Raw genomic sequence first — 22,311 nt, 5'->3', positions numbered from 1 at the left:
CCTCCTGGCACGGGAGTGTGGGGGGTGGGGCAGGGGCCACCCAGGCCAGCCCTGGCCTCTTCCCGCTCACGTCCAGGAGGAGTGGGGAGCAGGGGCAGGCTGGCAGCCGCCAAGGTGTTTGGGGCCACACCCATCTCTGTGGCTCTTTCCGGAATGGCGACTTGCATAACCGGGGCCAGGGGCTGTGGCGACCCAGGTGGGCAGCCGGGAGGCGGCTGCTCCCTCCCAGGGACCTGCTATCTGGTTACCTCCGGCCACTCTGCCGTGTTCCAGGCAGGGAGCGCCGGGCAGGAGGCCGTGGGGCCAAGCTCACCCCAGGGGGTGGGGGATTAGTCAGCCGTTCCCACCCTACCCTGAGAGGAATTGGCAGCTTTCTAGGATACCTGATCCACCCCGGGCACACTGGTGCTGGTTAGGGTGCCCTGCGGCTGTGAGGTCAGGTGGTCAGCAGAGCGCTGGAGCCGACGGGTCTTAGAGCGGGAGTTCCCGGGCTGTGCTTCCGCCTGGCCGCCAAGAGGACATGGGTCGAGGCTGGGGAGCCTCCTCTGCCCCACCTGCTCACCCCAGCAGTCAGGCTCGGAGGCAGCCCCACTGCCCAGGTGTCTGGGAGCACACAGTGGGCCAGGGTGGGCAGGCAGTTGGAGAACTGGACCTGGGGGGTCCTGGGCACCCCAGCCCTGAGACCTGTCAAAGCAACCCCCAGATGTGAGCCAACGCTGGAGCCACGGAGGCCTCACTGCCTGCCATTGGGTCAAAAATCCTGGTGCAGGGACTGGGCCGGCCTTGCCTTCTGACCTCCCAGTGCCTGCAGACGTGGCTTGAGGGCAAGAGGGACTCTGGGACTGGCCGGGCCTCCTCACAGGGCCAGGCACACAGTAGCGGGAGGGGCCGCGGCCCTCCGGCCCAGCCCAAGCCCTCCAGGCTGCCATGTGCCTGTAAGCCGTGAGGGGTGTCCTCAGCCTCCCAGGGCCATGGGCAGGCCGTGAGGGATGTGGGCTGAGACCCGGGACTCCCCTGGCTCTGCGGTGCCTGGAGCCCAGGCCTGAGCCGACGGGTGCCGGGCCTGACTGTGCTGCCACCTCGTGGCAGCTGCAGGGAGCGCGGCTGCACGCCTGAGAATGGAAGGTCGGTTCCCCAGACCCCACCCCGCCGGGCCTGGCACCTGAAAAGGAGGCTGGGGGAGGTTGGAGCAATGGGCGCGGCCGAAGTCCAGGAGGGCTGGGAAAAGCGCCCACCCAGACAGGCACATGAGGCTGGGCCCCTACGTCCACCTTGCTGATGGAGAATCCCCCTGCCGGCCCCTCAGCTACTCCACACCACGCCCAGGGTACACAGGTCCCTGAGACCCTCTCTGGCCCAGAGGGACACTGGGGCCACCTGAAGCTGTGGGAGGCCCGGGCAGGACCCTGAGCCCCAGAAAGTCACCAGGGAGCTGGTGCCTGCCACGTCACCGCCTCCACTCTGGGCGCAGCTTCCCACCCACCTGTCCCACCATCAGGCGTGGGGGGCTCCAGATGTTCCTGGGCCTTCCTGTGTGGGCCACAGGCCTGGCCAGGGCCGACCACAGCCCTCCCTGTCTTTCCCCCGCCCTGCGCTGGCCCTGTCTAGGCAGTGGGCTCCCCAGCCCCACCCGGCTCAGCCTGGGCTCCTCCAGACCCCTCTGCCCACTCCTGGGATGCCGGGTCAGTGCCGCCCACTCTACTGGTGCTGCTATGTGGCTGAGGCAGGGCCCAGCCCGAGGCCGGTGTGTCCAAGGGAATCTGCAGACTCCCTGGAGCCCTCCAAGAGGAGAACACTGGGCATCAGGAACATGGAGGCTCCGGGGAGGGGTGGCGGTGGTCAGAGAGGACTAAGAGAGTGACAAGCTTCCAGGGCCCAGCCCACCCTCTGCAGAGCATCCAGCAGACGCTCCGTGGGGTTGCCGACCTCCCGCTTGCCTGCAGATACACTCAGGAGTGTGCACAGCCCAAGCTCAGCCCCAGTAACGGCGAGTCTAGGAGCTGCACAGAGCTGGAACCCCCCATCCCAGAACGCCTCCATCACCAGGGGCAGCCCTCCCATGTCAGAGGCCCTTGCCTGGGCCATGAGGTGCCCTGGATGCCTGGGCTGGTCCCATTCCCTGCTGACTCCCTCCCTCACGCATTCATTCATCACTCATTCACTCATTCACTCACTCATTCACTTATTCACTCACTCATTCACTCGCTCATTCACTCATTCACTCACTCATTCACTCATTCACTTATTCACTCATTCACTCATTCTCTCACTCATTCGCTCATTCACTTACCCATTCGCTCACTCACTCATTCACTTGTTCATTCACCCACTCATTTACTCATTCATTTATTCACTCACTCATTTGCTCACTCATTCACTCATTCACTCATTCACTTGTTCATTCACCCACTCATTTACTCATTCATTTATTCACTCACTTGCTCACTCATTCACTCATTCATTCACTCATTCACTCAATCTCTCACTCACATACTTATTCACTCACATGCACTCATTCACTCACACATTCACTTATTCACTCACTCATGCACTCACTTATTCACTCACATGCACTCATTCACTCACACATTCACTTATTCATTCACTCATGCATTCACTTATTCACTCACTCATTCACTTATTTGCTCACTCATTCACTCATTCATTCACTCATTCACTCAGTCACTCACTTATTCACTCACATTCATTCACTCACATTCACTCACTCACATGCACTCACTCACACATTCACTTATTCATTCACTCACTCATGCACTCACTTATTCACTCACCCATTTATTCACTCATTCATTCTCTCACTCTCATTCACTCACTCTCTGTGTTCTGAACAGATGCATCCTGGACTCTAGACTGCAGCCAAGCCCTCAAAGACCTCTGCAGGGTGGTGGTCTCTTCTTGGGGCAGATCCAAGCTCTGGCCTCTCCTCTCTGAGCAGAGAGACACTGTCCCAGCCAGCCCACAGAAGCAGCAGGGCTGCCCAGTACTGGGTGGCTGGCCTGAGGTGTGCACCCCACAGGGCCCGGGTTTGCCCCCACCCTATTCCTGGATTTTATGAACAATCTCAAAAAATGCACAGTCCACAAATTGCAAAATGCTCAAGTGTATTTATGCAACAGATTGGCCGTGTACTGAGGAGGGGAGCGCAGGCTGAGGGCTGAGGTAGGAGTGAGGTTCTTCCTCCTGCAGCCACCAGGCAGCTGATCACCATGTCCAAGCGTCATTCCTGAGACCCTCAGGTGATGCTCACGTCCCCAGAACAGCAGGCTGGATGCATGGCCAGAGGAGCTCGGCCAGCCCCGGGGCTGGTCCTGAGAGGTGGCTGCAGGCGGGGTGGGTAAGGGCCCCTCCTCCAGGCAGCAGGTGACCCATAGCCCACACCCTCCACAAGAAAGCGGGCGTGGACAGTGTGTTCAAAGCTGCAGCCGCCTGGACAGGGGCACAAGTTCCACTGGCCTTGGAAGCCGAGCTCAGAGGACATATGGGAGGTTCTCCTTGGAGGTCAGGAGGGCGGCAGTGCTGGTCAGTGCATGGGGGACACTGGGACGCCTCTCTCCCAGCTCCCACTCTCTGCCTCCTGGCTGGGCTCGGGTTCCGCCTCCTCCGAGTGCTGGGTGTCGCCCGGCGCAGGGCACCGCCGGCCCATGCAGCCGCACTCTTCCACCTCGGTGTAGCTGAAGGCCCGGCTGGAGCCGTCGGTGCAGTGCAGGGTCACATTCCTCAGCGAGGTCCGCAGCTCCTGGCAGCACTGGCACCTGTGCTCCACCGTGTTGCCCTCGAGCGAGTACCTGTGGGCAGGGGCTGCTCAGCACCAGCTGCTGCGCCACCCCAGCCTCCTGCCGTAAGCCGGCGCCGTGCCGAGCTCTGGGCGGCCTCATCGTGTTCCCTGCTCCTGGAGGCATGCTGCCAGTGTCTGACAACCAGCTCTCCTTTGCCAGTTCCCCAGGCGCCAACAGTCCCACCAGGGCCGACCCCGGCTCCGTGCTGATGGGAGGGAGGGAGACTCGGGGCGGCTGCGGCAAGTTCCTGGCGGAGCTCAGTAAACAGGAGAGCGTGATGCCGACACAGGCTCTGGGGATGTAGTTACCCCAGCCCCACCCTTGCCATCTCAGGACCCCTTTCCCGCCTCACCCTCAGAGCCCTTTGCCTGGCCCCTCATGGTCCTGCCCCTCGTCTATCTGGCACCTAGAGCCCTGGGGGCCCTGACTGCACCCCACAGCCAATCGCGTCTCCCTGCCTGCTGCCCAGGCACGTACATGGAAGAGCTGTCCCCACAGTTCCCCCGGCAGTAAGCCAGGCGCACGGGCTCCGAGGAGCTGCAGCCCTGCTGCTGGATGATCAGGCTCCTATGGTACACAGCACAGGTCGACTCTGGAGAGGAACACAGGGTTTAGGACCAGCCCAGCTGCTCCTAGACCTCTGAGGGTGGAGCCCGCCCCGCCCAGCAGGCTGGGTACTCACGGTTCTGGTACGGGGGCGGGGGCGGCGGGCAGAAGCGGCAGCAGCCGTCCTTGCTCATGCGGGCCTCGTCCTGTGCCGACAGAGGGGCGCCCTCAGTGCCGAGGCGCTCGGCGGCCCCCACAGAAGTGAGGGATGGGGACATGGGGCCAGGCTCAGGAGTGGACAGCCCCAAGCAGGAGGGGGTGTCTGCTGGCGCTGCAGGGATGATCACAGCCCCCCAAACCCATCTAGGGGTGAAGCCCCCCTTGGCTGGAGCGGGGATCCTGGACCTCACCAGAGAACAGCTGAGCGGGGGGCACGCCTTCTTCGTGGTGACCACCACGAGCCCATCCTGGTGCTTCTCACACTGGTGGGTCACACAGTGGTTCCCTGCGTCTGACCAGGTCTCGCCGGGCTGGAGGGAGGCCAGGCCCCGGGGTGAGTGACCCTCCCTCCGTCTGTCCCTCTGTCTGCACCCCAGCCCGTGGGCTTCCAGAGAGTCCCCAGCCTCTGCCAGACGCATGCCTGGCAACGACAGGTCCCCACATGCCCCAGTGCTCCCAGACCCTGCCCTTCCTCTTTGTGGCAGCCACTACTCACGTAGAAGAGGTGGGCGGGGCTCTTGCTGGTGTTGGTGACACAGGCGACCTGCACACAGGTGCCACAGCACTGCCCGCTCTGCTCCTGGTACTCGAAGCCCTGCGGGAGGGATGGACATGTGGCTGGAATCCAGGCGACCGCTGCCCCCCAAGAGCCAGGGCAGGGTCGGGGCAGGGTGGGAGCGCTCACCACAGGGCAGTGTGTGTTGCAGATCTGGGTCTCACAGCTGACCACAAACGCGTCCGATGGGGGGCCACCCGGCAGCTCACACCTGCAGGTTTCGCACAGGCTCGAGGAGACCACGGCGCCGGGCTGGGGAGAGCCAGGGCAGCAGACACTCATGAGCTTGGGCCCTGGGGAGACCCGCCCCTGCCTCCCCACTGGCTTGCTGCCCCCAACTTCCCAGACATCCCCCTCCAGGCCGCTTCCTACCAGGCCGAGTTGCACCCCTGGGGTGACTCGTGGTGGCACCTCTTGGTGCAGAGGCCACAGCCCAGGGTCCCCATCCCTAGAGCAGAGCCCCACGCTGCACCCCCTTGGATGGGGTGCCCAACAAGGCCACACACTCTGCAGGGCCACATACTCAGCCGGCTCAGGACAGAGCCGTGGGATCCAGGCCTGGCTGTGCTGTGGTGCCAGGAGAGGCAAAGTCCCCCGGAGCCCCCCGGAGCCAGGCAGGCCAGGGTGTAGATGTCCATATTTCCGGGACCTGGGGCCGACCTCGGGCCTCAGCCACACTTGATAGTGGGCTGTGTCTGCAGAGACTCGAGTCCCTGGCCTCGGCCGGAGTTGGCAGTTGCTCCAAAGTCTACCTGGGCCTCAGGGTCAGTGGGAAGCTCCGTCCCTATGGCTGAGGGGGTCTGAGCTCCGTGGCTCTTACCTGGTACAGGGTCCCGTTGATGCTGCACACTGTCCAGCCTGCCCACGAGAAGACAAGCAGCTGCACCCCCCGCCGCCCACTCTCCCCTCACCCTCAGCATTCCCGCCCCTGCAGCCTCCTGGGCGCCTCATTCCCGGGCTCGCCACTGGGGTTTGTCCAGCCTCATCTCTGCGGAAGGCTCAGTCCAGAGCCACAGACCCGCAGTGGACAAGCCGCACTGGCATCTGGTTATGGCCCCCCAAAATCCCAGGTGGAGACCCCAGCCCACGGCCCCTGACAGGGCCTGGTCCAGGCCACTCACTGCAGTTTTGGACTGGGCAGCAGGCCCCCTCCTGGTAGGTCGGGATCGCGCGGGCGCCCTCAGGACAGCCCACGGGCGCGGGGCAGCGGCTGGTGTTGCAGGCTGCGGGGGCGGGAGTGAGGCAATTAGGAGTCTGTCCCCCGCCCCCACCCGAAGGCCCACCCCCTGGGGTCTCTAGGATTGCGGACCGCCTAGACAGCCCGCTCGGGGGTCTCCAGATGAGGCTGTTGCGGAAGCGGAGGAGGGGACGCCCTCGTAGGCACTGTCCCCAGGTGCACGCCCCAAGGCAGCAGCAAAGTCCGGGCCGAGTGGGCTCCGGGTCACCTGCCTGCCACACCATGCCCCTCACCCAGCAAAGGGCTTACCGCAGCTGTACTGGGGGCAGCACTGGCCGGCCTGTGGGGCTGCAGGCACAGGCACGAAGCCGGGCAGGGGGCAGGCAGGGGGCAGCGGGCAGAGCTTGGGTCGGCAGGTCAGCGTCCACGTGGCCGCCTCACACGTGCACTCCTGGCAGTCCATGCCGACGGTGTGGCCCACCTGCAAGGAAGGGGACTGAGGTCCAGCGTCCGCAGCGGCTCCACCCAGGGGTGCAGCAGCCACCCCGGCTCATGCAGTGCCGGGGCAGCCAGGTGTGGAGGCCGTGTGGCCTGCACTGAGGACCCAGCAGGAGTAGGGCTTCAAAAGTGCAGGGTAGGGCCCAGGGATGGGCACAAAGCTCTGCAAGGTGGGCAGGCTGTGGGGTGACTGGCCTGCGCCCCCCACCTCACACCTCCACAGTCTTGGCTGGGCAGAAGGGGCGTCCCAAGGAAGGGAAGAGCACAGCCAGCCTCGGGGCCAGCACCCACCCACAGAGCAACACCAGGACAGACGCCCCGGCACCGTCCCCAATACGGACAGAGTGGGTACCTGGGAAGGGAGATCCCGAGTCTTTCTGGGAGCCCGGCTCCTCCCGCAGCCCTTTCTCTGGGCCTCTGACACAGAGAGGACACCCCGACCCCTGAGCCCCACCTGACCATTTCTGGGGCCGGTGTTTCAAGAGCCTCCCTCCTCGGGCTCTTGGACCCCAGTGCCCTCTTGGGCCATGCCTTCCACTCACCTTCACCGGCTCTCCGTGGGGCCCCAGACACCCTGGAAGGAGAGAGATCTGAGGTTACTGGGGGTCAGCCACCACAATAGGGGCGAGAGGCAGGGTCCCATATTGGGGCCAGGGTAGACCCCAGGACCTGGCCAACAGTCACAGGCCCAGTCCTGCCACACCCCCCAGCCCCGGCCTGGGGCACGTACTGGGGCAGCCCGTGGGCACGCAGACTTGGGCACTGGTGCTGAAGAGGGTCATGCCCTCCGGACAGAAGCAGCCTTCGGTGATGGGGCCGGCCTCCGGCAGAGCCCTGTAGAGAGCATAGGGTTGGTGGGTCTCCTTTTTCCCTCCGGTGAGAAGGACCCCAGCCTGGGAGTGGGAGATGCAGCGGGAGGCTGGGGACTGGGTGGCTCCAGCAGCCCATGGCAGGGCCAGGAGGGAGGGTGCCTACCCGAGGCTGGCGCTGTCATTCCCGTAGCAGTAGGAGGGGTTGCTCGGGCCGCAGGGCTGGTACACCTTGTCGGCTGGGCAGGTGAATGCTGTGGGGAGGGGAAGCCACACCTGAGAGGGTGGGAGGGCACCCACCCAGAGCAACGCGGGCCGCTGGGCACCAACATCTGCTCCGGAGCTGCCCGCAGCCACCTGTGGGCCTGGGCCTGGCTACGGCCTCCCACACCCCAGTGCCCCGCCACGGGCTCCCAGACGTGGACGCCCTCCCTTCTCTCCAGGGAACTGGGTGCACTCTGCCCTGGGGCTGCCCCCTCCTCCTCCAGGTCCCCCCCTGACTGCCCGAGCCCACCCTGTTGGTCCGTCCGGCGTGCCTGTGCCCCTCACAAGCGACTTGGGACCCTGAGGACAGTGGTGGCACTCACGGCACATGTGGCCGGTCCGGCCTCTCCAATCGATGCAGATGTCGTGGGACGCACAGAGTGCCGCGTACAGCTCCAGGCTGGAGCACACCACATCCAGGTCCGTCATGTGGCACCGGTCAAAGACGCAGCCCTCATAGAACAGCAGTGGGGGGATCACAGTGTGGCACGGCTCAAAGACCCTGTGGGAGGGATGGGCAGGGTGCTGGGTGCAGCCTCTCCGGCCACCTGCCTGCTCCACGTCAGGCTCCCAGGCTTCAGGGCAGTCTCCAGGCGAGGCGAGTCCCAGAGCAGCCACTGGTGTGTGGCCGCCCTCCTGTATCCCCGGACGGGCTCCTTCCACACATTCTGTGTGCTTGGGGGCGGGGGGTGGGGGTCCAGATGGCATCATCCATTTATTTCTGCAAGTTCTTCTTCCTGGCCCCCCCAGCCCCTGCCCTGCAAACCTGGAAGCTGCCTGGGGGTGGTGACCGATGCCCCCGTCCATACACCTGAGCCAGCAGAGAGCCTCAGAGACGGCCCAGCCGGCCAACCCTGGTGACCCCTTGGCAGCATTCCAGCCACAACCACCCCTTCCCGGCACCCGCCCCTCCCCACTGCCCACCCCTCCCCGGCACCCACTTCTCCCCAACACCCACCCCTCCTTGGTCTGTGGTACCAGCAGCTCTCGTTTCCTCTCAGGAGCCCCCTGAAAATGCGCTTCTTCCCCTCCAGCCCTTGGAAGGGTGGGAGGTGGGGCGGCCACACTGACCCTCCCTCCCTTGCACCCAAGTCTCACTTGCTCAGAATCAGCTGGCAGATGGGTGATGGCAGGCACGGAGCAGGCGGTGTGGTGGGCCCGACCGTGGTAGACCCAACTGTGGTGGGCCCGACCGTGGTAGACCCAACTGTGGTGGGCCCGACCGTGGTGGGCGTCGGGTGAGGCCGGTGGCAGGCTGGCTGGTCGGGTATGCTCACGTTCCAGAGGCCGGACATCTCGGAGCAGGAAGCGACCACCGTCCCCCTAGGCGTGCGGCACTCATCCTTCCTGTCGTTGGTGCAAGTGCCTGGGCAGACGCGGTGGGGGTCAGGCTGCTGGACAGCAGAGCCGGCTGGCCCCACCCCCAGCTGGGGGACAGGACCCTGGTGTCTCAGGGTCACAACTTGGTGAACTGCAGCGGGCCCTGCCTGTGCCTCACTGTCCCCCGAGAACAACCCTGGGACAGTCCCTATGGTACTGGGGAGCTGCAGGTACCGGCAGGCGTAAGCCTCATGCCTGTGGCCTGCACTCAGCAGAGCAGCCAGAAAGCAGAGACACCGGCACACGCGGCACGTGGTGGCCTCGCCCCTGCCCGGCACCCCCGCCCCCGCGAATGCCAGACGATGCCCGGGAGCCCTGTGGCCTCACCGCACTGGCCCTCGGTGTTGTTGGCAAACTTGCTGAAGGGCACCTCCACGGAGAAGATGAGGCCGGAGAACATGACCTGGACTCCCAGCTCCGGGATGGTCGCGTACATCTTGACGCCGATGCGCGAGACCACGATGCCGTTTTTCCGGAAGCCGGGGCTGACCACCTTGTTGTTGAAGATGATCTGGACGCAGGGCGTGGTCGACGGGAAGTCAGAAGGCAGGCGGGCGGGCGGTCAGCCGCTGCTCAGGCTCTTGCCGGGAAAGCCGCGTCCCCCACCCCCTCCGCGGCACACCGGGCGCGCCCCCACCTCGTTTGTCATCACCCCGTGGACTGGCTTGCGGGTCAGCACCACGCGGTCCTGGTGGTACTCCAGGATGATGGACCTCGGGCAGGAGAGCCCGTCCTCCGCACCGCAGAAGTAGTTGTCGACGAGCACGCGGAAGTGGCCATACACGGGCACAATCTGCTGCACCAGCACGTACGTGCAGTTGTCCAGGAAGGTGTAGTAGGTGCCGTCGAAGGTGATGTAGTGGGGGTCACCCCAGCCGCTGCACACACCTGCCAGGCCCCAGGGGCAGCCTTACGGGTGGCTCGGGTGGTGGCACCATGGCCCTGGGGCTTTCCTCCCAACAGGTCACATCTGTCCCTGACCCCCCACCGTCTCATCTCACAGGGCGCACAAGACCCTCACGTCATCAGAACACACGTGGCCAGCGTCCGCACAGAGCTCCATCCAGCGGGCGCTTGACAAGGCTGGAGCGAGGCAGGGACAGACTCCTCCACCTTCTCCAGCCAGGCTGCTCCGAGGCTCACAGGGATTCACTCAGCACCCCTAAGCGGGGAGGCTCGGCCCCATGCGGCCCCGCCTTGATGCTGGGAAGTCCTTCCTGCTGTCCCACCCAATTCTTTTCTGCTTCAGCCAAGCCCCCTCCTCTGCCCCGCCCATTTCCACCTGGGTGGGGAGTGGCTGCCCCGGCTGCCCTGGGTCCCGCTCGGCGCTCCACTCACACTGGCACTGGTAGTGATGGCAGCAGCCATCTTGGTCAGCCACCTTCACAGCCGGGTAGCCGTTGGCACAAGTGGGCTTCTCCACCCTCGGGCACGTGCGCGGGCGCAGGGAGATGACGTTGTTGCCCTCACAGGTGGCCTCGGAGCAGTTGGGTGTGGCCCAGGTCTCACCTTTCTGCAGAAGCACAGAGACCTGCAGGGTCCGGCCTCTCCCGATCTCCGGGGCACCCCTTGGTTCTCGGGGTCACAGTCCCGAGAGTCCCGTGTGGGGACAGGGGAGGGTGGCTGTGCCCCAGTTTCCTTCCTGCCCCACCCTCAGCACCCACCCCAGACACCGAGCTGGCCCGGGCAGGGGCCTCTGGTGTGGGAGTGGCTCCTCCCTGGCTCTGCCACACTCCCTGGCTGTGCAGCCTCATCCACCTGCTCTGGCCCTGGCTGTCCTCAGCACAGCCTCAGCCTTCGGCCCCACACACCCAGTGTCTGGAAAGCACGTGCCTGGGAAGCCCAGGGTGATCAGAGACGCCGGGCTACAGCATGGCCCTCTCCTGACGGCCGGGCTGCCTCCACTAGCGCCAGTGACCTTCTCAAGACTTTGCAGCTGAAGACTAATTGCAAAGACATTCAAGTTCCCTGTAGGAGCCCCTGAGCCTTCAGAAGGGTGAGAAGTAGGGGGTTACCTTTCTGGGGGGAACCGCATTTGGGCATCCCAGCTCAGTGACGGGCTCGGAGGTGGATATTGAAGGGGACGTGGCTGGGGCAGGAGGCAGCGTGGTGGACGGACAGTCACTGTCAACCCCTCTGACCACTTGGCAGTCCTGGCTACACAGGGCATAATAGCAATGGCCAGCGAGGTCTCTGTGGCGGTATATGGTGGATCCTGTAAGAGGAAGGGACATGGCAGCCTTTAGTGGAGTCCTGCTCAAAGGAGAAGCAAAAAACTCCCAGAGCCAGAGGGGCACTTTCTACCACCTGTGTAATGGGAAAAAATTTCAGAGAATGCCAGCAGCCACTCTGTGACAATGAGCCTGTGCCACAAAGAGCAGAGACTCCTATCATCATCACAGCTTGGCGTTCCTGGATAAAAAACTGACCAGGGTGAGCTCAGAAACAATTGCACCAGAAACACTCACGAACCTGCAGGGTAGAGCCGGTCAGCCACGTTGCAGAAGCAGGTTTGGGTGGAGTAAGCCACAGAGCTGGATGCCACAGAGCTGGATGCCACAGAGGTGGATGCCACGGAGGCGGATACCATGGAAGTAGACAGGGAAGGATACAGAGCATTGGTAGGAGAAGTCCCATATGGGGTCACAGAGGTCACCGGGCAGCCTCTGGGGGTCTCGCAGCAGAGCACGCGCACCTCGTAGTTGAGGCACATCTTGAAGGGTCCCTGCTGGTCCTGGTTCCGGCACACCAGGCCCTCTTCACGGCTGCACTGCACCACCTGACCCAGGTGTTCAATGTTCACCTCCGGGTGGCTCTCGGCTCGGCACTGGAGCCTGGTGATCTCCTCAGGTCGGCGGCAGATTTTTTCCCCACTCCTGATGATGTTGTTGTAGGTTTCCTTGTCCCCGCCGTGGGGTCCAGGGGATGGGAAGTCCACGTCGAACCACTTTGTCCAGGCGCACAGAGGATGACAGTCACTGGTGACTGGTTGGGAGTGGGTTGTCTTGGATACAGAAAGATGGCTTGTGCTGGTCTTTGAAACAGGGGTTGTGCTGGTGGTGGGAACGGGGCTGGGAGTAGTTCCAGGACCAGAGGTCGTGCTGGTTGTAGGAGCAGAGGTTGTGCTGGTGGTGGGAACAGGGCTGGGAGTAGTTCCAGGACCAGAGGTTGTGCTAGTTGTAGGAGCAGAGGTTGTGCTCGTGGTGGGAACAGGGCTGAGAGAAGTTCCAGGACCAGAGGTTGTGCTGGCTGTAGAGGCAGAGGTTGTGCTGGTTGTAGGAGCAGAGGTTGTGCTGGTGGTGGGAACAGGGCTGGGAGTAGTTCCAGGACCAGAGGTTGTGCTGGCTGTAGAGGCAGAGGTTGTGCTGGTTGTAGGAGCAGAGGTTGTGCTGGTGGTGGGAACAGGGCTGGGAGTAGTTCCAGGACCAGAGGTCATGCTGGTTATAGGAGCAGAGGTTGTGCTGGTTGTAGGGAGAGAGATTGTGCTGGTTGTAGAAGCAGAGGTTGTGCTTGTGGTGGGAACAGGGCTGGGAGTAGTTCCAGGACCAGAGGTTGTGCTGGCTGTAGAGGCAGGGGTTGTTCTGGTTGTAGGAGCAGAGGTTGTGCTGGTGGTGGGAACAGGGCTGGGAGTACTTCCAGGACCAGAGGTTGTGCTGGCTGTAGAGGCAGAGGTTGTTCTGGTTGTAGGAGCAGAGGTTGTGCTGGTGGTGGGAACAGGGCTGGGAGTAGTTCCAGGACCAGAGGTTGTGCTGGCTGTAGAGGCAGAGGTTGTGCTGGTTGTAGGAGCAGAGGTTGTGCTGGTGGTGGGAACAGGGCTGGGAGTACTTCCAGGACCAGAGGTTGTGCTGGTTATAGGAGCAGAGGTTGTGCTGGTGGTGGGAACAGGGCTGGGAGTAGTTCCAGGACCAGAGGTTGTGCTAGTTGTAGGAGCAGAGGTTGTGCTGGTGGTGGGAACAGGGCTGGGAGTAGTTCCAGGACCAGAGGTCATGCTGCTTGTAGGAGCAGATGTTGTTCTGGTTGTAGGAGCAGAGGTTGTGCTGGTTGTAGCAGCAGAGGTTGTACTGGTGCTGGGAACAGGGCTTGGAGTAGTTCCAGGACCAGAGGTTGTGCTGGTTGTAGGAGCAGAAGTTGTGCTGGTTGTAGAGGCAGAGGTTGTGCTGGTGGTGGGAACAGGGCTTGGAGTAGTTCCAGAACCGGAGGTTGTGCTGCTTGTAGCAGCTGAGGTTTTGCTGGTCTGTGGAGTGGAGGTTGTGCTGCTTGTAGGGGAAGAGATTGTGCTGGTTGTAGGGGCAGAGATTGTGCTGGTTGTAGAGGCAGAGATTGTGCTGGTTGTAGGAGCAGAGTTTGTGCTGGTTGTTGGAGCAGAGGTTGTGCTGGTTGTAGGAGCCAAGGTTGTGCTGGTTGTAGGACCAGAAGTCGTTCTGTGTGTAGGAGCTGAGGTCGTGCTGGTTGTAGGGGCAGAGGTTGTGCTGGTTGTAGGGGCAGAGGTTGTGCTGGGTGTAGAAGCAGGGATTGTGCTGGTTGTAGGGGCAGAGGTTGTGCTGGTCTGTGGAGTGGAGGTTGTGCTGGTTGTCACCAAAGTGGTTGTCCTGGATTTCTGCCAAGAGGAAGTGCTCTGAGTTGGGCTGGTGGCTCTCCCACTAGGGGTGCTAGGAGCTGTCACAGGTGTGGAGGTCACGGGGCAGCCTTTGGGGGTCTCGCAGCAGAGCACACGCACCTCGTAGTTGAGGCACATCTTGAAGGGTCCCTGCTGGTCCTGGTTCCGGCACACCAGGCCCTCTTCCCGGCTGCACTGCACCACCTGGCCCAGGTGTTCGATGCTCACCTCCGGGTGGCTCTCGGCTCGGCACTGGAGCCTGGTGATCTCCTCAGGTCGGCGGCAGATTTTTTCCCCACTCCTGATGATGTTGTTGTAGGTTTCCTTGTCCCCACCGTGGGGTCCAGGGGATGGAAAGTCCACGTCAAACCACTTGGTCCAGGTGCACCGGGGATGACAGTCTCTGGTGACTGGTTGGGAGTGGGTTGTCTTGGATACAGAAACATGGCTTGTGCTGGTCTTTGAAACAGAGGCTGTGCTGGTGGTGGGAACGGGGCTGGGAGTAGTTCCAGAACCGGAGGTTGTGCTGCTTGTAGCAGCTGAGGTTTTGCTGGTCTGTGGAGTGGAGCTTGTGCTGCTTGTAGGGGGAGAGGTTGTGCTGGTTGTATGGAAAGAGGTTGTGCTGGTTGTAGGGGCAGAGATTGTGCTGGCTGTAGGAGCAGAGGTTGTGCTGCTTGTAGGGGCAGAGGATATGCTGGTCTGTGGAGTGGAGGTTGTGCTGGTTGTAGGGGCAGAAGTTGTGCTGGTTGTAGGAGCTGAGGTTGTGCTAGTTGTAGGGGAAGAGGTTGTGCTGGTCTGCGGAGTGGAGGTTGTGCTGGTTGTAGGGGAAGAGATTGTGCTGGTCTGTGGAGTGGAGGTTGTGCTGGTTGTAGGGGCAGAGATTGTGCTGGTTATGGGAGCAGAGGTAGTGCTAGTTGTAGGGGCAGAGGTTGTGTTGGTTGTAGGAGCCGAGGAAGTGCTCGTAGGAGCTGACGTTGTGCTGGCTGTGGGAGCAGAGGTTGTGCTGGTTGTAGGGGCAGAGATTGTGCTGGTTGTAGGGGCAGAGATTGTGCTGGTGGTAGGAGCCGAGGTTGTGCTGCTTGTAGGGGCAGAGGATGTGGTGGTCTGTGGAGTGGAGGTTGTGCTGGTTGTAGGGGCAGAAGTTGTGCTCGTTGTGGGAGCAGAGGTTGTGCTGGTTGTTGGGGCAGAGGTTGTGCTGGGTATAGAAGCAGGGGTTGTGCTAGTTGTAGGGGCAGAGGTTGTGCTGGTCTGTGTAGTGGAGGTTATGCTGCTTGTCACCAAAGTGGTTGTCCTGGATTTCTGCCAAGAGGAGGTGCTCTGAGTTGGGCTGGTGGCTCTCCCACTAGGGGTGCTAGGAGCTGTCACAGATGTGGAGGTCACGGGGCAGCCTTTGGGGGTCTCGCAGCAAAGCACACGCACCTCGTAGTTGAGGCACATCTTGAAGGGTCCCTGCTGGTCCTGGTTCCGGCACACCAGGCCCTCTTCGCGGCTGCACTGCACCACCTGGCCCAGGTGTTCGATGCTCACCTCCGGGTGGCTCTTGGCTCGGCACTGGAGCCTGGTGATCTCCTCAGGTCGGCGGCAGATTTTTTCCCCACTCCTGATGATGTTGTTGTAGGTTTCCTTGTCCCCACCGTGGGGTCCAGGGGATGGAAAGTCCACATCAAACCATTTGGTCCAGGTGCACCGGGGATGACAGTCTCTGGTGACTGGTTGGGAGTGGGTTGTCTTGGATACAGAAACATGGCTTGTGCTGGTCTTTGAAACAGAGGCTGTGCTGGTGGTGGTAACAGGGCTGGGAGTAGTTCCAGAACCGGAGGTTGTGCTGCTTGTAGCAGCTGAGGTTTTGCTGGTCTGTGGAGTGGAGGTTGTGCTGCTTGTAGGGGCAGAGGTTGTGCTGGTTGTAGTAGCAGAGGTTGTGCTGGTTGTAGGGGAAGAGGTTGTGCTGGTTGTAGGGGCAGAGATTATGCTGGTTGTACGAGCAGAGATTGTGCTGCTTGTAGGAGCCGAGGTTGTGCTGCTTGTAGGGGCAGAGGATATGCTGGTCTGTGGAGTGGAGGTTGTGCTGGTTGTAGGGGCAGAAGTTGTGCTGGTTGTGGGAGCAGAGGTTGTGCTGGTTGTAGGAGCAGAGGTTGTGCTGGTCTGTGGAGTGGAGGTTGTGCTGGTTGTCACCAAAGTGGTTGTCCTGGATTTCTGCCAAGAGGAAGTGCTCTGAGTTGGGCTGGTGGCTCTCCCACTAGGGGTGCTAGGAGCTGTCACAGGTGTGGAGGTCACGGGGCAACCTTTAGGGGTCTCGCAGCAGAGCACACGCACCTCGTAGTTGAGGCACATCTTGAAGGGTCCCTGCTGGTCCTGGTTCCGGCACACCAGGCCCTCTTCACGGCTGCACTGCACCACCTGGCCCAGGTGTTCAATGCTCACCTCCGGGTGGCTCTCGGCTCGGCACTGGAGCCTGGTGATCTCCTCAGGTCGGCGGCAGATTTTTTCCCCACTCCTGATGATGTTGTTGTAGGTTTCCTTGTCCCCGCCGTGGGGTCCAGGGGATGGGAAGTCTATGTCAAACCACTTGGTCCAGGTGCACCGGAGATGACAGTCTCTGGTGACTGGTTGGGAGTGGGTTGTCTTGGATATGGAAACATGGCTTGTGCTGGTCTTTGAAACAGAGGCTGTGCTGGTGGTGGGAACGGGGCTGGGAGTGGTTCCAGGACCAGGGGTTGTGCTGGTTGTAGAGGCAGAAGTGGTGCTGGTTCTAGGAGCAAAGATTGTGCTGGTGGTGGGAACAGGGCTGGGAGTGGTTCCAGGACCAGAGGTTTTGCTGGCTGTAGAGGCAGAAGTTGTGCTGGTTGTAGGAGGAGAGGTTGTGCTGGTGGTAGGAATAGGGCTGGGAGTAGTTCCAAGACCAGAGGTTTTGCTGGCTGTAGAGGCAGAGGTTGTGCTGGTTGTAGGAGCAGACGTTGTGCTGGTTGTTGGGGCCGAGATTGTGCTGGTTGTAGCGGCAGAGGTTGTGCTGGTTGTAGGAGCAGAGGTTGTGCTGGTGGTGGGAACAGGGCTTGGGGTAGTTCCAGGACCAGAAGTTATGCTGGTGGTAGAAGCCGAGGTTGTGCTGGTCTGTGGAGAGGAGGTTGTGCTGCTTGTAGGGGTAGAGGTTGTGCTGGTTGTAGGGGCAGAGGTTGTGCTGGTTGTAGGAGCTAAGGTTGTGCTGGTTGTAGGGGCAGAGGGTGTGCTGGTTGTTGGGGCCGAGATTGTGCTGGTTGTAGGGGCAGAGGTTGTGCTTGTTGTGGGAGCAGAGGTTGTGCTGGTGGTGGGAACAGGGCTGGGAGTAGTTCCAGGACCAGAGGTTGTGCTGGTTGTAGAAGCAGAAGTTGTGCTGGTGGTAGGAACAGAGATTGTGCTGGTGGTAGGAACAGGGCTGGGAGTAGTTCCAGGAACAGAAGTTGTGCTGGTTGTAGGAACAGAGATTGTGCTGGTTGTAGTAGCTGAGGTTGTGCTGCTTGTAGGGGCAGAGGTTGTGCTGGTTGTAGGGGCAGAGGTTGTGCTGGTTGTAGGAGCAGAGGTTGTTCTGGTTGTAGGAGCAGAGGTTGTACTGGTGGTGGGAACAGGGCTGGGAGTAGTTCCAGGGCCAGAGGTTGTGCTGGTTGTAGCAGTGGAGGTTGTGCTGCTTGTAGGGACAGAGGTTGTTCTGGTTGTAGGGGCAGAGGTTGTGCTGGTTGTAGGGGCAGAGGTTGTGCTGGTGGTGGGAACAGGGCTTGAAGTAGTTCCAGGACCAGAAGTTGTGCTGGTTGTAGGAGCCGAAGTTGTGCTGGTCTGTGGTGTGGAAGTTGTGCTGCTTATAGGGGCAGAAGTTGTGCTGGTTATAGTAGTAGAGGTTGTGCTGGTTGTAGGAGACAAAGTTGTGCTGGTTGTAGGGGCAGAGATTGTGCTGGTTGTAGTAGCAGAGGTTGTGCTGGTTGTAGTCGCAGAGGTTGTGCTGGTGGTAGAGGCAGAGATTGTGCTGGTTGTAGGGGCTGAGGTTCTTCTGGGTGTAGGAGCAGAGGTCGTGCTGGTTGTAGTGGCAGAGGTTGTGCTGGTTGTTGGGGCCGAGATTGTGCTGGTTGTAGGGGCAGAGGTTGTGCTTGTTGTGGGAGCAGAGGTTGTGCTGGTGGTGGGAACAGGGCTGGGAGTAGTTCCAGGACCAGAGGTTGTGCTGGTTGTAGAAGCAGAGGTTGTGCTGGTTGTAGAAGCAGAAGTTGTGCTGGTGGTAGGAACAGAGATTGTGCTGGTGGTAGGAACAGGGCTGGGAGTAGTTCCAGGACCAGAGGTTGTGCTAGTTGTAGAAGCAGAGGTTGTGCTGGCGGTAGGAACAGGGCTGGGAGTAGTTTCAGGACCAGAGATTCTGCTGGTTGTAGTGGCAGAGGTTGTGCTGCTTATAGGGGCAGAGTTTGTGCTGGTTGTAGGTGCAGAGGTTATGCTGGTGGTGGGAACAGCACTGGGAGTAGTTCCAGGACCAGAGGTTGTGCTGGTTGTAGGAGCAGAGGTTGTGCTCGTGGTAGGAACAGGGCTGGGAGTAGTTCCAGGACCAGAGGTTGTGCTGGTTGTAGTGGCAGAGGTTGTGCTGCTTATAGGGGCAGAGGTTGTGCTGGTTGTAGGAGCAGAGGTTGTGCTGGTGGTGGGAACAGGGCTGGGAGTAGTTCCAGCACCAGAGGTTGTGCTGGTTGTAGAAGCAGAGGTTGTGCTGGTTGTAGGAGCAGAGGTTGTGCTGGTTGTAGGAGAAGAGGTTGTGCTGGTGGTAGGAACAGGTCTAGGAGTAGTTTCAGGACCAGAGGTTGTGCTGGTTGTAGCGGCAGAGGTTGTGCTGCTTTTAGGAGCAGAAGTTGTTCTTGTTGTAGGGGCAGAGGTTGTGCTGGTCGTGGGAACAGGGCTTGGGGTAGTTCCAGGACCAGAAGTTGTGCTGGTTGTAGGAGCCGAGGTTGTGCTGGTCTGTGGACTGGAGGTTGTGCTGCTTGTAGGGGCAGAGGTTGTGCTGGTTGTAGGAGCTGAGGTTGTGCTGGTTGTAGTGGCAGAGGTTGTGCTGGTGGTAGGAACAGGGCTGGGAGTAGTTTCAGGACCAGAGATTCTGCTGGTGGTAGTGGCAGAGGTTGTGCTGCTTGTACGGGCAGAGGTTGTGCTGGTTGTAGGAGCAGAGGTTGTGCTGGTTGTAGGGGCAGAGGTTATGCTGGTGGTAGGAACAGGGCTGGGAGTAGTTCCAGGACCAGAGGTTGTGCTGCTTGTAGGGGCAGAGGTTGTGCTGGTTGTAGGGGCAGAGGTTATGCTAGTTGTAGGAGCAGAGATTGTGCTGGTGGTAGGAACAGGGCTGGGAGTATTTCCAGGACCAGAGGTTGTGCTGGCTGGAGAGGCAGAGGTTGTTCTGGTTGTAGGAGCAGAGGTTGTTCTGGCTGTAGGAGCAGAGGTTGTGCTGGTTGTATGGGCATAGGTTGTACTGGTCTGTGGAGTGGAGGTTGTGCTGGTTGTCACCAAAGTGGTTGTCCTGGATTTCTGCCAAGAGGAGGTGCTCTGAGTTGGGCTGGTGGCTCTCCCACTAGGGGTGCTAGGAGCTGTCACAGGTGTGGAGGTCACGGGGCAGCCTTTGGGGGTCTCGCAGCAGAGCACACGCACCTCGTAGTTGAGGCACATCTTGAAGGGTCCCTGCTGGTCCTGGTTCCGGCACACCAGGCCCTCTTCCCGGCTGCACTGCACCACCTGGCCCAGGTGTTCGATGCTCACCTCTGGGTGGCTCTTGGCTCGGCACTGGAGCCTGGTGATCTCCTCAGGTCGGCGGCAGATTTTTTCCCCACTCCTGATGATGTTGTTGTAGGTTTCCTTGTCTCCACCATGGGGTCCGGGGGACGGGAAGTCCACGTCGAACCACGTTGTCCAGGTGCACCGGGGATGACAGTTTCTGGTGACTGGTGTGGTGTGGGTGCCCTGTGTGACGCTGGTTGCTGTGGGCCCACCCCTGGAGGTTGCCGTGGGTTGCTCTGTGGAGGCCGAGGGCATGTGTGTGGTGAAGGTGGTCTGGGTCTGAGCTCCGGTTGGATGTGGAGTCGGCCGTGTCGTTGCGACGGTCTTTGGCGGTCTGGTGATGTCTCTGCACACGTTCACCGTCTCGCAACACTGGATGCGGATCTCATAGTTGTAGCAGATGGGTGGGAGCTGGTTCTTGTTCAGGCAAATCAGCCCCTCTGTGTGGCTGCAGATGACGTCCTGCCCCAGGTCTGCCAGCGGCGTGTTGGGGAAGCTCTCTGCCCGGCACTGCACGCTTCGAGGACTTTCACAGAATGTGTATCCTTCGTCTCTCAAATTTTGAAATGTGTCAAAATCTCCACCATTTATTCCAGGAGCAGGGTAGCTGCCATCAATCCACTCGGTCCAGGTGCAAAGCTCCTGCAGGCAGGAGGATGTGCTGGGCTCCGTGGGGGTGGGCTTGCTGGAGACCACAGAGGTCCCCGGGGCCGTGGTCGACATGGATGATGTTGATGTTGCCGGCACTGGCGGAGGGCTGGGAGTTGAGAAAGTTTTTTTGACAGAGGTAGCGGTACCTGGGGCAGGTGTCGTCCTGGCTGTAGAGAGAGACACGGTGCCAGGTGTGCTGCTGGGGGCTGAGGAGCCTGAGGCCTGGGTTTCAGTGGTCTTGGAGGTTGTTGAAGGAGTGGTCTGGGCTGGACTGCTAGAGGTGGAGCCAGGTGTGGAGGTCATGTGGCAGCCTCTGGGGGTCTCGCAGCAGAGCACACGCACCTCGTAGTTGAGGCACATCTTGAAGGGTCCCTGCTGGTCCTGGTTCCGGCACACCAGGCCCTCTTCCCGGCTGCACTGCACCACCTGGCCCAGGTGTTCGATGCTCACCTCTGGGTGGCTCTTGGCTCGGCACTGGAGCCTGGTGATCTCCTCAGGTCGGCGGCAGATTTTTTCCCCACTCCTGATGATGTTGTTGTAGGTTTCCTTGTCTCCACCATGGGGTCCGGGGGACGGGAAGTCCACGTCGAACCACTTTGTCCAGGTGCACCGGGGATGACAGTTTCTGGTGACTAGTGTGGTGTGGGTGCCCTGTGTGACGCTGGTTGCTGTGGGCCCACCCCTGGAGGTTGCCGTGGGTTGCTCTGTGGAGGCCGAGGGCATGTGTGTGGTGAAGGTGGTCTGGGTCTGAGCTCCGGTTGGATGTGGAGTCGGCCGTGTCGTTGCGACGGTCTTTGGCAGTCTGGTGATGTCTCTGCACACGTTCACCGTCTCGCAACACTGGATGCGGATCTCATAGTTGTAGCAGATGGGTGGGAGCTGGTTCTTGTTCAGGCAAATCAGCCCCTCTGTGTGGCTGCAGATGACGTCCTGCCCCAGGTCTGCCAGCGGCGTGTTGGGGAAGCTCTCTGCCCGGCACTGCACGCTTCGAGGACTTTCACAGAATGTGTATCCTTCGTCTCTCAAATTTTGAAATGTGTCAAAATCTCCACCATTTATTCCAGGAGCAGGGTAGCTGCCATCGATCCACTCGGTCCAGGTGCAAAGCTCCTGCAGGCAGGAGGATGTGCTGGGCTCCGTGGGGGTGGGCTTGCTGGAGACCACAGAGGTCCCCGGGGCCGTGGTCGACATGGATGATGTTGATGTTGCCGGCACTGGCGGAGGGCTGGGAGTTGAGAAAGTTTTTTTGACAGAGGTAGCGGTACCTGGGGCAGGTGTCGTCCTGGCTGTAGAGAGAGACACGGTGCCAGGTGTGCTGCTGGGAGCTGAGGAGCCTGAGGCCCGGGTTTCAGTGGTCTTGGAGGTAGTTGGAGGAGTGGTCTGGGCTGGACTGCTAGAGGTGGAGCAGGGTAGGGGCGTGCAGCACTGGACCCTGATCTGGTAGTTGTAGCAGAGCCCCGATGCCTGCTCCCTGTTACGACAGGTCAGCCCCACATCCGGGCTGCACTGCACACGCTGCCCCAGGGCTCGGAGCGGCACTCCGGGGGCGTCCTCAGCTCGGCACTCCACCGACCTGGGTGATTCGCACACCCGGTACCCATGGGCGCGGAGGTTCTCCAGTGTGTCGAAGTCACCGCTGTCCGTGCCCCGTCCAGGGCGGCTGACATCCATCCATGGCGACCACAGGCACTTTTCCCCACAGACCGGCGGCAGTGAGGCAGAGGCTGTGGGCAGCCTCGTCCTGGGAGAAGTGCCTGCTGTGGTGGGCCAGGCGCTGCTCGGAGGGCCTGTGTGCGCGCTGCTTGGGCCATTGCTGGGGGTGTGCGTGGAGCTCACGACTGTGGGCAGAAGAGAAGGCAGCTGAGCATGAGAGGCCCGCACTTGGGGGCCGCCCGCCCCTCCCTGCGGCTCTGTCACCGGTCTGGAGCTGCGCCAGCAGGTCTGTCTTCCTGTCCCCACCCGCGGTCCCTGCTCAGAACCCACATGAGCGGCACAGGTTCTGAAGAGCCAGGCGAACCGACTGAGTTTTAGGGAAGTGGCTCCCAGGCCATGCCCTGAGC

The 22,311-nt window shown here is 61.2% G+C and overlaps 1 protein-coding gene across 1 annotated transcript in view, besides 3 other annotated features; it reads right to left on the bottom strand.

Annotated features, from left to right (window-relative positions):
• Positions 803-1,309: an enhancer, noted in NCBI's record as "H3K4me1 hESC enhancer chr11:1224165-1224671 (GRCh37/hg19 assembly coordinates)". NCBI's record gives its function as "activates a minimal SCP1, AML or CMV promoter by ChIP-STARR-seq in naive H9 embryonic stem cells {active_cell/tissue: H9 hESC(naive)}" and the evidence as "EXISTENCE:reporter gene assay evidence [ECO:0000049][PMID:30033119]".
• Positions 1,310-1,817: an enhancer, noted in NCBI's record as "H3K4me1 hESC enhancer chr11:1223657-1224164 (GRCh37/hg19 assembly coordinates)". NCBI's record gives its function as "activates a minimal SCP1, AML or CMV promoter by ChIP-STARR-seq in naive H9 embryonic stem cells {active_cell/tissue: H9 hESC(naive)}" and the evidence as "EXISTENCE:reporter gene assay evidence [ECO:0000049][PMID:30033119]".
• MUC5AC (mucin 5AC, oligomeric mucus/gel-forming) overlaps positions 3,106-22,311 on the bottom strand; it is a 43,186-nt gene continuing 23,980 nt past the window's right edge. Inside the window, exons 31-49 of the mRNA NM_001304359.2 lie at positions 11,719-22,089; positions 11,262-11,461; positions 10,585-10,759; positions 9,884-10,134; positions 9,574-9,757; positions 8,965-9,232; positions 8,190-8,368; positions 7,769-7,856; positions 7,524-7,627; positions 7,336-7,367; positions 6,605-6,776; positions 6,240-6,341; positions 5,939-5,976; positions 5,248-5,370; positions 5,059-5,157; positions 4,754-4,873; positions 4,480-4,549; positions 4,275-4,389; positions 3,106-3,806 (exon numbers count right to left, since the gene is read on the bottom strand). Of these exons, the coding sequence (NP_001291288.1) occupies positions 3,542-3,806; positions 4,275-4,389; positions 4,480-4,549; positions 4,754-4,873; positions 5,059-5,157; positions 5,248-5,370; positions 5,939-5,976; positions 6,240-6,341; positions 6,605-6,776; positions 7,336-7,367; positions 7,524-7,627; positions 7,769-7,856; positions 8,190-8,368; positions 8,965-9,232; positions 9,574-9,757; positions 9,884-10,134; positions 10,585-10,759; positions 11,262-11,461; positions 11,719-22,089 (12,956 nt within the window). The 3' untranslated portion in view covers positions 3,106-3,541. The remainder of the gene's footprint in view (positions 3,807-4,274; positions 4,390-4,479; positions 4,550-4,753; positions 4,874-5,058; positions 5,158-5,247; positions 5,371-5,938; positions 5,977-6,239; positions 6,342-6,604; positions 6,777-7,335; positions 7,368-7,523; positions 7,628-7,768; positions 7,857-8,189; positions 8,369-8,964; positions 9,233-9,573; positions 9,758-9,883; positions 10,135-10,584; positions 10,760-11,261; positions 11,462-11,718; positions 22,090-22,311) is intronic.
• Positions 10,092-11,290: an enhancer, noted in NCBI's record as "CDK7 strongly-dependent group 2 enhancer chr11:1214179-1215378 (GRCh37/hg19 assembly coordinates)". NCBI's record gives its function as "activates an origin of replication core promoter dependent on BRD2, BRD4, P300/CBP, MED14 and CDK7 cofactors, with strong dependence on CDK7, by STARR-seq in HCT116 cells {active_cell/tissue: HCT116}" and the evidence as "EXISTENCE:reporter gene assay evidence [ECO:0000049][PMID:35650434]".

This window comes from Homo sapiens, chromosome 11, assembly GCF_000001405.40.
Source record: "Homo sapiens chromosome 11, GRCh38.p14 Primary Assembly".
In the NCBI taxonomy this organism is placed as follows: domain Eukaryota; kingdom Metazoa; phylum Chordata; class Mammalia; order Primates; family Hominidae; genus Homo; species Homo sapiens.
The sequence above is the reverse complement of the archived record's forward strand: the minus strand, read 5'-3'. Positions and strand labels throughout refer to the sequence as shown.